This window comes from Homo sapiens, chromosome 16 (assembly GCF_000001405.40).
Source record: "Homo sapiens chromosome 16, GRCh38.p14 Primary Assembly".
NCBI classification, from domain to species: domain Eukaryota; kingdom Metazoa; phylum Chordata; class Mammalia; order Primates; family Hominidae; genus Homo; species Homo sapiens.
The window spans coordinates 1,861,055-1,874,606 of NC_000016.10; the positions used below are offsets into that span (position 1 = coordinate 1,861,055).

A 13,552-nucleotide genomic window follows, 5' to 3' on the forward strand; every position below is an offset into this window, starting at 1 on the left:
TTAATATTTACAAGAACCTAATGAGGTATTATTTCATAGTTGAGACCCAACAAGATTAAGAAATTTTCTCAAAGCCATGATGTAAGTCAATGTTGGAACTGGGATTTGAATCTAGACCTCTGTGTTTTCAAAGTCTCCTGTTCTTCCTACTATATGAGGCTGTTCTGTCAAAGAGATACTGGGGTGAGTAGATGTAAAAGATTTGGTATTTCAACTAAAAGTAAAGTTCCTTAAAATCCCATTAACAATTTAAATATCAGTTTTTATCAAAATCTATTCAGTGGTCAAATGTCAACTTTTATCAAAATATATTCAGTGGCTGTATTATATGTCTATAGAAAGATAACCAATTATAACAATAAAATGGGTTGGTGCAAATTGAAATATGTAATAAACCAAAGACAGTAAGGTTATTTAGTAAAAATATAACTATCACATTTGTATGCTTCAAATAACATTCTGAATGCCTCGCATTGCAGTCTTTTTTTTTTTTTTTTTTTTTTTTTGAGACAGGGTCTTACTCTGTGACTCAGGCTGGAGTGCAGAGGTACGATGTTGGCTCGCTGCAACCTCCACCTCCAGGGCTCAAGCCACCCTCCTGCTTCAGCCTCCTTAGTAGCTGGTACTACAGGCCCACGCCACCACACCCAGCTAATTTTTTGTAGAAATGGGGTCTTGCCATGTTGCTCAGGCTGGTCTCGAACTCCTGAACTCACGCAATCCACCCACCTCAGCCTCCCAAAGTGTTGGGATTACAGGCATGAGCCACCGTGCCCCACTGCATTATACTCTTAACACTTGACTTTTTCTGATAAAGTTCTTGAGAATTACGAACTGTGTCTCATTTCAACTCCTTCAGTATAGTTACCATAAACATACCACAGGAATAACACTATGATGGAAAAAGTTTAAGAATCAATGCCAACTTACCACAGTCACCAACCCTAAAGCTGTCAGAAAGAGACTTGATGTAATCTTCATTGCCCCAGGAAGCTGCATTTACAAAATGTGCTGGTGAATCCCGAATGGTGAAGCTGAAAGTGTACCTTTCTGATCCAATATCTAAGGGAAAACCAATGCTTTTATTTTTCAAATGAAGAGTTTCAATCGCTTCTCTGCCTTTTGATAAGTGTTACATGAAAAGTTTCATTTCAATTATAAACAAATGATTATTTGTTTAATCAAATAACTATTGATTATGATAATAAAAATACTCAAATACATAGTACAAAATGTTCTTTCAGATGTATATTCTATAACATGCTTCTATGAATTTCAAGCTGAAGTGGTAACAGGTTGCCCCCTTGCTCCCTTCCCTGGTGATCTGTGTATTTGGAGGGAAAAACATGTAAACTTGAGCCATCCAGGTATTACCTTAGGTTCTCCTTTTCTCTCTTACTGTTGTTTCAACCTAAGTCATAATTCAGATCTAAATAGTTATTTCAGTCCCAGCTACTTAGGAGGATGAAGCAGAATGACTGCTTAAGCCCAAAAGTTCAAGGCTTCAGCGAACTGTGATTGCCCCACTGCTCTCCAGCCTGGGCAACAGAGCAAGACCCCGTCCCAAAAATAAAAGTAAAAATAGGCCGGGCGCAATGGCTCACGCCTGTAATCCTAACACTTTGGGAGCCCGAGGCGGGTGGATCACCTGAGGTTAGTTCAAGACCAGTCTGGCCAACATGGTGAAACCCTGTCTCTGCTAAAAATACAAAACTTAGCCAGGCGTGGTGGTGGGCGCCTGTAATCCCAGCTACTCGGGAGGCTGAGGCAGGAGAATCGCTTGAACCCAGGAGGCGGAGGTTGCAGTGAGCCGAGATCCAGCCTGGGTGACAAGAGAAAAACTCTTGTCTCAAAAATAAATAAATAAATAATAATAAAATAAAAATAAAAATTGGCCAGGCACAACAGCTTACCCCTGTGATCCCAGGACTTTGGGAGGTGAGGTAGGAGAATCACTTGAGGCCTGGAGTTCAAAACCAGCCTGGGCAACATAGAAGGACACCATCTCTACAGAAAATTTTAAAATTAGTGGTGGCACTCATCTTTAGTCTCAGCTACTTGGGAGGCTGAGGAGGAAAGGTTGCTTGAGCCCAGTTTAAGTGTGCGGTGAGCTTTGAATGCACCACTGCACTCCAGCCTGGGAAGAATGAGTTCAGGGTGTTCATGAAATGTACACCCAGGCTGGAGTTCAGTGACGCGATCTCTCGGCTCACTGCAACCCCTGCCTCCCAGCAGCTGGGACTCAGCCTCCTGAGCAGCTGGGGCTACAGACGCACACCACCATGCCAGGCTAATTTTTGTTTTTTGTTTTTTTTTTAGTAAAAACGGGTTTCGTTTTTGTTTGTTTTTGAGACGGAGTTTCGCTCTTGTTACCCAGGCTGGAGTGCAATGGCGCGATCTCAGCTCACAGCAACCTCTGCCTCCTGGGTTCAAGCAATTCTCCTGCCTCACCCTCCCAAGTAGCTGGGACTACAGGCGCCTGCCACCATGCCTGGCTAATTTTGTACTTTTAGTAGAGACGGGGTTTCACCATGTTGGCCATGCTGGTCTCGAACTCCTGACCTCGTGATCTGCCTGCCTCAGCCTCCCAAAGTGCTGGCATGAGCCACCGTGCCTGATGAGACAAGGTTTTTTAGTAGAGGTGGGGAAGAACAGAGTGAGACCCTGTCTCAAAAAAAAAAAAAATAAATTTTAAAAATAATTAAAATAAGTTATTTCAAAACAAATTATGTGCTACTTAATGAGGACCACTAGGGGTCAGCAAATACTTTTTTTCCAAAATAGAAATTTCATATTGGTTTTGCTAATTAAAAATTACAACCTGGCTGGGCGCAGTTGCTCCTGCCTATAATCCCGGCACCTTGGGAGGCCAAGGGGGTAAGATTGCTTCAGCCAAGGAGTTCGAGACTGGGCAACAAAGTGAGACCCTCTGTCTCTACAAAAACTCCAAAAATTATTCAGGCATAGTAGCATGGACCTGTCTGGGCTACATGCGAGGCTGAGGCAGGAAGACCACTTGAGCCCAGGGTTGAGGCTGCAGTGAGCTGTATTCACATTGCTGCACTCCAGGCTGAGTGACAGAGCAAGACCCTATCTCAAATTTTTAAAAAAAGTAATATAACTCAACATACATGTAAATTATAGACATATTCTGAACTGTCTATTAGTGTTTACCTCTGGGGAGAGGACTAGGATGGCAAGAGTGAGGAGCTGAAAGGGGAATTTCACTTTTCAAATCTGTGACCTTTGGTACTGCTGGAATTTTTGATACAAATATAATGTTATATGTACAATGTTTTAAGTCAGTAAGCATACTTCTTCCAAAAAAGGAATACCACAGATGTCATCATAAAAAGAAGTCAAACAACACAGAAGTTTTTCTCCTTCCCTCACAGTCTGATAGGTGAAAAACTGTGAATTTCTTTTTCTTTTCTTTTTTTTTTTTTTTTTTGAGACAGAGTTTCACTCTTGCTGCCCAGGCTGGAGTGCAATGGCGTGATCTTGGCTCACTGCAACCTGCGCCTCCCAGGTTCAAGCGATTCTCCTGCCTCAGCCTCCCGAGTAGCTGGGAATACAAGCGCCTGCCACCATGCCTGACTAATTTTGTATTTTTAGTAGAGAGGGGGTTTCTACATGTTGGTTAGGCTGGTCCCAAACTCCTGACCTCAGGTGATCCGCCCACCTCAGCCTCCCAAACTGCTGGGATTACAGGCGTGACCACTGTGCCTGGCAAAAAACCGTGTATTTCATTTTTATAATTTTAGCAAGTATTTTAATAACTACTTTTTTCTAATTCACACATTTTAAGTGATGCCTTCTGAAATTTGGTAAAAGGAGATATAGACTTCCTCAAACTATTTATTTAGTATTTCTGATCTAATTAGTTAAGATGAAATAAAGTGCAGGCACAAATGATATGGGTACCAGATGACAGCTTGGTTATTTACCTTAAAGATAAAAGCATCATGCCTGTAATCTGATCACTCTAGGAGGATGAGGTGGGATGATCACTTGAGCCCAGGAGTTTGAGACCAGCCTGGGCAACAGAGCAAGACTCTGTCTCTACAAATTTTTGTTTTTTTTAAATCAACCAGGGGCTGGGCATGGTGGCTCACACCTGTAATTCCAGCACTTTGGGAGGCCGAGGCAGGGAGATCACTTGAGGTCAGGAGTTCAAGACCAGCCTGGCCAAAATGGTGAAACCCCATCTCTACTAAAAATACAAAAATTAGCTGGGCATGATGGCATGTGCCTGTAATTCCAGCTACTCGGGAGGTTGAAGCAGGAGAATCGATTGAACCCAGGAGGCAGAGGTTGCAGTGAGTCGAGATCGTGCCATTGCACTCCAGCCTGAGTGACAGAGCGAGCCTCCATCTCAAAAAAAAAAAGAGAGAACACATGTACTCAAATATACATATATACACACACGTGTACACACATACACACACATACACATGCACACACATACACACGTGTGTGTATACACATAAACATATATACACATATGTGTGTATGTATACATATATATAGAGAGAGAGAGAGAATGTGGGAGGGAGGGAGAGAGAAAGCCTTGAATCAGGTACTTGACCATCCAATAGAGAGCATGACCATTGCTCTTAAGGAGTTAAACAGGCATAGAAAAATTAATCACTTCAATATACTTTGTTGTAGTCATAAGCCAAAGTTGATGAAAAATGAAACCAAGAGTTAAACAGAACTCAGCTTTTTCTGTCTGGAAAGCCTTTGACATCTGTTTTCCCAATAACTATACCGATAACTTTCTGAAAAACAAAAAGGTCACAGAAGACCAATATTAAACACAGATGTACTTGATAAATTTAATTTCATGGGCTTGTTATACTTTACTGGCTCTAACAAACATTTCTGACTAGGAACCATTTAAATGTATTTATTCCAGGCAAACATCTAAAAGAAGTTCATAAATGTTCAATTCCACAAGGAATAGTATAAAGTAATCCAAAAGTTAACTACTATTACAAATATAATCATTTAATACTTAGCATATTTCTACTTTATTTTCAATCACCAGATGGAGCATAATAACTGCCCTATGCTATCAATCCTTACTGAATTCATCCAAAGCACATGTATAATGCAATTTAATTTGCCACAGTCTTCAAAGCTTTCCTTTATATAGGGTTTTCTAACAATCCACATAAAATCACTTAGCTTCTTAATCCAAACATGCTGGACAGTAATATAAATTAGACTGTAACAAAACTTATATTTTGCTGCTAATAAATCTAAATTCTAAAGTCCTAGATCTTAAAACTTAGAGATATTAACATCTCCTCAAAATGTTTAATGTTCTCTTTAGTGACTACTGAAGAAAAATTTTAAATGTGTTTTAAGAAATAAAAATGGGCCGGGTGTGTTGGCTCACACGTGTAATCCCAGCACTCTGGGAGGCTGAGGCGGGTGGGTCACCTGAGGTCATGAGTTTGAGACCAGTCTGACCAACATGGTGAAACTCCATCTCTACTAAAAATACAAAAAATTAGCCAGGTGTGGTGGTGGGTGCCTGTAATCCCAGCTACTCGCGAGGCTGAGGCAGGAGAATCGCTTGAACCCAGAGGCACAGGTTGCAGTGAGCTTAGATCCCACTATTGCACTTCAGCCTGGGCAACAGAGCAGGACTCCATCGCAAAAAATAAAAATAAAAAAAAAATAATAAAAAATAAAAATGAATACCTTTTCTGAAAGGAAAAAAACTAAACTTATTTTGCTAATTGCAGCAACTGATTTTAACCTTACAATAATCTTGACATTTAAATTACAATCAGGCTTTTAAGACTCCTACATTCTAGCTGAGCTATTAGCTAGCTTTATTGCTTATTTAGACACATTGATATTATTTCTTCAATTCCTTATACTTGCAGATCTCACTGAATTTTGTTGGAAAATCCAATTAATGGAAATGTTGAGTAAAACTTTCTATCTGAAGAGACCATTATTAGCAAATAGTTTACCTTTCAAGAAAAACTATAACAACAATTGTTATTTTTTAATATTTTAAAATTTTAAATTATTAAAGTTATATGTAAATGTATCCCATTGTAAGAAATCTAGTTTGCAAAAGCAAAATATAAATAGCAGAGTGCTCAGGGGCAGGGAAGGTAAGGGTGTGTGGTAGCTGCTTTACAATAAGTTCTTTAACTTATAAGATGATTCCACTTAGTTTTCTTTTAAGTAAGTAACAGTCGAGATGTGTTCAAAATCATTGAATTCCCCTATAACTCCTACTCAAAGAGTCAATTTTCACATCATCATTGTAGAAAACACACATGTTATAAACCTATATCATAAAAGCAGCATAATGTCAAGTACTTAGACCATAAATTGGATAATTTGGTCAGAAAATTGCTACTGCTGAACAAAATGGTTTAATTTTTTTTTTTTTTTTTTTTTTTTTTTTTTTCAGAAGAGTTTTGCTCTTGTTGCCCAGGCTGGAGTGCAATGGTGCGATCTCGGCTCACTGAGACCGCCTTCTGGCTTCAAGCGATTCTCCTGCCTCAGCCTCCTGAGTACCTGGGATTACAGGCATGAGCCACCACACCCAGCTAATTTTGTATTTTTAGTAGAGATGGGGTTTCTCCATGTTGATCAGGCTGGTCTCAAACTCCCAACCTCAGGTGATCCAGCTGCCTCAGCCTCCCAAAGTGCTGGGATTACAGACATGAGCCACTGTGCCTGGCCTGGTTTAATTTTACAATGCTAAATTTGAGCATTTATTAAATTTTTCACTTTATAAAATATTAAGTAAAATAATACATCTATTGATCATTTTGAACAATTACTAGTCAAATCTACAATCATATCTTCTACTCTACACACAAAGATTAATTTTCATCTAGGTGGCATAAATACAAAGAAATTTAGGTATACTTAATATCTAACAATTATACCAATGCAATGAGTATCTATATACTTGCCAATTATAAAAGCATGTGTTGAATGAATCAATAACATTGATGTAATGTTATCACATAAAATGTCATCAGTAAGCAAATCACCACATTATTGAAACCTACCAGATTAGCCATATTTGTCTGCAGATCTGAAAGGGTAGTGAAAATCCTCGCTGCAAAGGAGTTTGCCATTTTTTTAATCTGCATTTTAGAAAATATAATTTAGATATATAAATTGAATAAATGAAATAAATCATTTAAAAAATTCCAAGAGTTTAAAATCTTATTTAGGGCCGGACATGGTGGCTCATACCTGTAATCCCAGCACTTTGGGAGGCTGAAGTGGATGGATCACCTGAGGTCAGGAGTTCAAGACCAGCCTGGCCATCATGGCGAAACCTCACGTGGTAGCGGGCACCAGTAATCCCAGCTACTCAGGAGGCTGAGGCAGGAAGAAGTGCTTGAACCTGGGAGGCAGAGGTTGCACTGAGCCGAGATCGCACTACTGCACTCCAGCCTGGGCAACAGAGCGAGACTCTGTCTCAAAAATAAATAAAACAAAATAAAATAAAATAAAATAAAATATTATTGGCCAGGTGCGGTGGCTCATGCCTATTATCCCAGCACTTTTGGAGGCCGAGGAGGGCGGATCACAGGGTCAGGAGATCGAGACCATCCCGGCTAACATGCTGAAACCCCGTCTCTACTAAAAATACAAAAAATTAGCTGGGCTTGGTGGCAGGCACCTGTAGGCCCAGCTACTCGGGAGGCTGAGGCAGGAGAATGGCGTGAACCCGGGAGGCGGAGCTTGCAGTGAGCTGAGATGGCACCACTGCACTCCAGCCTGGATGACAGAGCGACACTCCATCTCAAAGAATAAATAAATAAAATAAAATAAAATATTATTTAGGAAAGCACTGGATAGTTTACTGCTTTGGAAAATTTTTATTATAATGGTAAAATGTAAATTAATATCGATTAAACCTATAAAAAACATGTTCAGAATGTCCTTTTATAATTTTGAATGATATAGCTATTATAGGTTTCAATTTTTAACTTTCATTTCTAAAACCATGTAAAATTTAGTAGTTTTTGAGCACCATGTAAATTTAGTTTTATTTTATTTTTTAATTTTGTTTTAACTTTTTTTCTTTTTTTGAGACATCAGTCTCACTCTGTGCCCCAGGGTGGAGTGCAGTGGCACAATCTCAGTTCACCACAACATCCGCCTCCCAGGCTCAAGCGATTCTTCTGCCTCAGCCTCCCAAATAGCTGGGATTACAGGCGCCTGCCACCATGCCCAGCCAATTTTTGTATTTTTAGTAGAGACGAGGTTTCACCATGTTGGCCAGGCTGGTCTTGAACTCCTGATCTCAAGTGATCCGGCCGCCCCCAAAGTGCTGGATTACAGGCGTGAGCCACCAAGCCCAGCCAAATTTAGAGTTTTACATGCAAGATGATTCAATAGGACATTTTTTTTTTGAGATGGAGTTTCACTCTGTTGCCTAGGCTGGAGTGCAGTGGTGCAATCTCAGCTCACTGCAAGCTCCACCTCCTGGGTTCACGCCATTCTCCCACCTCAGCCTCCCGAGTAGCTGGGATTACAGGCACCTGCCACCACGCCTGGCTAATTTTGTTTTTGCATTTTTAGTAGAGACGGGGTTTCACCGTGTTAGCCAGGATGGTCTCCATCTCCTGACCTCGTGATCCGCCCACCTCGGCCTCCCAAAGTGCTGGGATTACAGGCATGAGCCACCACGCCCGGCCTCAGTGGGACATTTAAGGATTTAAATATATATTAGCATCAAGCTTACCTCAAAAAATACAGCAAAAATCTACGTAAACACCTCATATTGAGCATTTGATTATACTGTGTGAAGGGAAAGGTAGTGATTTTTTTTTTTTTGAGACGGAGTCTCGCTCTGTCGCCCAGGATGGAGTGCAGTGGCACGATCTCAGCTCACTGCAACCTCTACCTCCCAGGTTCAAGCGATTCTCCTGCCTCAGCCTCCCGAGTAGCTGGGACTACAGGCATGTGTCACCTCACCCAGCTAATTTTTTTGTATTTTTAGTAGAGATGGGGTTTCACTGTGTTAGCCAGGATGGTCTCGATCTCCTGACCTGATGATCCACCCGCATCAGCCTCCCAAAGTGCTGGGATTACAGGCGTGAGCCACTGAGCCCAGCCCGGGAAAATTATTGATTTTAAACACACCTCTACATAGTAAAACTACATGAGGGCAGAGGTGGCATCTTACGTATTTTTATGTATGTATTTCATAACTGAAAACCATAAATATCAGATGAACGAAATGGTGGTTTGTCCCTCAACATCATCACTCTAAAAGGTTCTATTGTAGAAAAATTGTAAGCTACACCAAACAGATTGACTTCACTTTATAATCCAGGGCCTCTTTAACTCTGGGAATGCCCACACCCACCCGCTCCAGTTCAAGGACGTGTCTCATGACACCTGAATTTCAGGCAGCCTGTGGAGTTAGTCAAATATGATTTTGAATTGCAACACCACTAGTTTGTAGTCGTGTGTTTTAACATTACTAAACATTAATTTCCTCATCCTTAAATTGTGGATAACATCCACCTGGCAGTGAAAAGTAGAAACAGTGTATACAAGATGCCTCGATGTTCACAGGCTCACAGTCAATGATGGCCCTGCTTGTCAATATTATCCAATGTACCAGTTTTTGTATTCAAGGCCTTTCAGTGCCAGAAGAAACATTTGGGAATTAAGCTGTGTCAAGTTTTTCATTCGTTCTTTGGCCTGGTCTGATGTGGCTCACAATGCAGTGTCACTATCTAAAACACTTGCCGAACTGTGACAAATTCATTCACTCATTCAACCATTCAACTAATATTTATTTACAGCCCAAAGTGCCAGACATGTGAGTCGAGAGGATGAGTCAGACATTTGACTCAGTGGCTGAATATTCTGTACAAACACAACTACCTACACACCAAGGGATTTCTCCACATTTTTACCCCTTAGCATCTCTTGGTGGGACATGGTATCCTATTATCTCTCTGAATTCCCTTATTTGTCTGCTACCGTTAGAGGTATATGGTAATAGACGTTAGTGTCTGCCCACAAAAAATATGACTTGCTTCTCTACCTGGTCACTTTAACAGATACAAAATTAACATGAACTAAAGAGCTCAATCTGAGAATTCAGAGATGACTTCATTCAACAACTACTGTCTCTTTTACCCTACAATTTTGTTTTGTTTTGTTTTTTGAGACAGAGTCTTGCTCTGTCGCCCAGGCTGGAGCGCAGTGGCGCAATCTCGGCTCACTACAAGCTCCGCCTCCCGGGTTCACGCCATTCTCCTGCCTCAGCCTCCCGAGTAGCTGGGACTACAGGCACTCGCCGCCACGCCTGGCTAATTTTTTGTATTTTTAGTAGAGACGGGGTTTCACCGTGTTAGCCAGGATGGTCTCGATCTCCTGACCTCGTGATCCACCCGCCTCGGCCTCCCAAAGTGCTGGGATTACAGGCTTGAGCCACCGCGCCCGGCCCTTTTTTTTTTTTTTTTTTTTTTTTTGACAGAGTCTTGCTCTGTTGCCCAGACCGGAGTGCAATGGTGCGATCTTGGTTCACTGCAACCTCCACCTCCCGGGTTCTAGCGAGTCTCCTGGTTCAGCCTCCACAGTAGCTGGGATTACAGAAGCCTGCTACCACACCTGGCTAATTTTTGTATTTTTTGTAGAGATGGGGTTGCACCTGAGGTGGGCAGATCGCGAGGTCAGGAATTTGAGACCAGCTTGGCCAACATGGTGAAACCCCGTCTATACTAAAAATACAAAAAAAATTAGCCAGGTATGGTGGCGCACGCCTCTAATCCCTGCTACTCGGGAGGCTGAGGCAGGGGAATCCTTGAACCAGGGAGGAGGAGCCGGGCCCTGACCCGCGCGGGCTCCCTTCCTCGGACGCCGCCCCACAGCTGGAGGCCTGGCCCGCGTCGCCACCTGGCCGTCCACGCCGCTGCTTACCCGAGGCTCGCCCGGCCGGCTGCTCCCCGGGCCTGCACAGCTGCCGCCGCGGCCTCGCGGACCTGGCCCGCCCGACCCCCGGGTCGCCCGCGCTTCGCGGCTTCTCCACAGGACGCTCGGGCCACAGCCTCGTGCAGGTGCGACGGCCGCGCGACCGTTAGCGCGAGGCCCCGCCCCGTCCTCAGCGACTCCGCCCCCACCGCTCACTGACTCCGCCCCCACCGCTCACTGGCTCCGCCCCCACCGCTCACTGGCTCCGCCCCCAACGCGCTCAGACTCAGCCCTCGGGGGAGGGGAGGGGAGCCCGGTTCCCGTTTCCTCCTTCTTGGGAGTTAGAGGGACAAGACAGCCGCAGGCGCGGGGAGGGGTCTCCGTGCGCTCTCACAGCCGCGTGTGGCTCTGTGGTCGCTGGATTCCAAAAGACGGTGCGCCGGAAAAAAATAAACATATCTCTCTATCTATAATATTATGAAGGGCGGGCGCGGTGGCTCACGCGTGTAATCCCAGCACTTTGGGAGGCAGAGACGGGCGGATCACCTGAGCTCAGGAGTTCAAGACCAGCCTGGCCAACATGGTGAAACCCCGTCTTTACTAAAAATACGAAAGAAATTAGCCAGGCGTGGTGGTGAGTGCCTGGTTGTCTTGTGGCGCCGCCCGCCCACCCGAGTAGTCCCAGCTACTCAGGAGGCTGAGGTATGAAAATCGCTTGAACCCGGGAGAGGTCGCTTGAACCCAGGAGAGGAAGGTTGCAGTGAGCCGAGACTGTACTACTGCACTCCAGCCTGGGCAACAGAGTGAGACTCTGTCTCCAAAAAAAAAAAAAAAGAAAAAATGAGCCAGGCACGACGATGCATGCCTGTAGTCCCAGCTACTGGGGAAGCTGAGGGGGGAGAATCGCTTGAGCCCAGGAGTTCAAGGCTGTGGTGAGCTATGATGGCGCTACTGCACTCCAGCCTGGGCAAGAGTAAGACCCTGTCTCTACAAAATTAATTAATTAATTAATTAATTAATATATCTACATCTAATGATAGATTTGGCATGTAGTACATCAAGAAAATACCCATAGATGGGCTGGGCGCGGTGGCTCACGCCTGTAATCCCAGCACTTTGGGAGGCCGAGGCGGGCGGATCACGAGGTCAGGAGATGGAGACCATCCTGACTAACAAGATGAAACCCCATCTCTACTAAAAATACAAAAAATTAGCCGGGCGTGGTGGCGGGTGCCTGTAGTCGCAGCTACTCCGGAGGCTGAGGCAGGAGAATGGCGTGAACCCGGGAGGCGGAGCTGGCAGTGAGCTGAGACCGCGCCACTGCACTCCAGCCTGGGTGACAGAGCGAGACTCCGTCTCAAAAGAAAAGAAAAAAGAAAAAGAAAGAAAAAACCCTAGATGTGTATATCTATGTATGAAAAATATATATATAATTAGATGTGCTAAGGATTGGACTTAGGTGAATCTGACAAAAATTTTCTCAGCTCTTCATGTTTTTAATTACTTCCATTTAGAAATCTTTTTAGTTTAATGACTTATACTAATTTTTGTTAACAGAGTACCAACCCAGGGCAAGTAAGATCCAAAAACTAAGTCCATTAAATTTGTCACCTACTACTGTCCACATGTAGCATTATTTAAGTTTCTCTTTAAAAAGAGAAGAACAACTTTGGTGCATATAACACACACATATTATAAAAGAAAAATACCACTGTAGAACCAAGTTTTATGTTATTATTAAAATACAGTTTTTCTTTTCCTCATTTTTTTTTAATTTCCCAAATAATACTGGGAAGCAAAATAAAGTACCTGCATTTCACCATTTCAAATATAATGGGAAGAGTTGGGTTTTTAAATCGTCCCTATTCCTTTCCAGTCTCTGCCTTTAAAAGAAGATATTTTTGGCCGGGGTTGGTAGCTCATGCCTGTAATCCCAGCACTTTGGGAGGCTGAGGAGGGCAGATTGCCTGAGCTCAGGCGTTCGAGGCCAGACTGGCCCAACGTGGTGAAACCCCATCTCTACTAAAAATACAAAAATTAGCCAGGCATGGTGGCGGGAGCCTGTAATCCCAGCTACTCGGGAGGCTGAGGCAGGAGAATCGCTTAAACCTGGGAGGCAAAGGTTGCAGTGAGCCAAGATTACGCCACTGCACTCCAGCCTGGGTGACAGATGGAGACTCCATCTCAAAAAAAAAAAAAAAAAAAAAACAAAAAAAAAAAACCTATCTTTATCTTTCCAAAAGAATAAACTAGTGGCCGGGGGCAGTGGCTCACGTCTGTAATCCCAGCACTTTGGGAGGCCAAGGTGGGCGGATTGCCTGAGCTCAGGAGTTGGCCACCAGCCTGGGCAACACGGTGAAACCCCATCTCTACTAAAACACAAAAAATTAGCCAGGCGTGGTGGCATGCGCCTTTAGTCCCAGCTACTCGGGAGGCTGAGGCAGGAGAATTGCTTGAACCCAGGAGGTGGAGGTTGCATTGAACCAAGATCGGGCCACTGCACTCCAGCCTGGGCAACAGAGAGAGACTCTGTCTCAAAAAAAAAAACACAAAATAACAAAATAAAATAAACTAGCATTTTAAGTCCATCTTAAAGGAGAGGAAAAAATATAAAAATAGTTTT

The 13,552-nt window shown here is 43.2% G+C and overlaps 1 protein-coding gene across 2 annotated transcripts in view; it reads right to left on the bottom strand.

The window, feature by feature from the left end:
- Positions 1 to 11,110, bottom strand: part of MEIOB (meiosis specific with OB-fold) — a 38,179-nt gene extending 27,069 nt beyond the window's left edge. For both annotated transcript variants that reach the window (NM_152764.3, NM_001163560.3), the window contains exons 1-4: positions 10,939 to 11,110; positions 7,053 to 7,130; positions 4,724 to 4,781; positions 931 to 1,062 (exon numbers count right to left, since the gene is read on the bottom strand). In NM_152764.3, coding sequence (NP_689977.2) covers positions 931 to 1,062; positions 4,724 to 4,781; positions 7,053 to 7,121 — 259 coding nt within the window. In that variant the 5' untranslated portion in view covers positions 7,122 to 7,130; positions 10,939 to 11,110. The remainder of the gene's footprint in view (positions 1 to 930; positions 1,063 to 4,723; positions 4,782 to 7,052; positions 7,131 to 10,938) is intronic.
- Between the last annotated feature and the right edge of the window lie 2,442 nt (positions 11,111 to 13,552).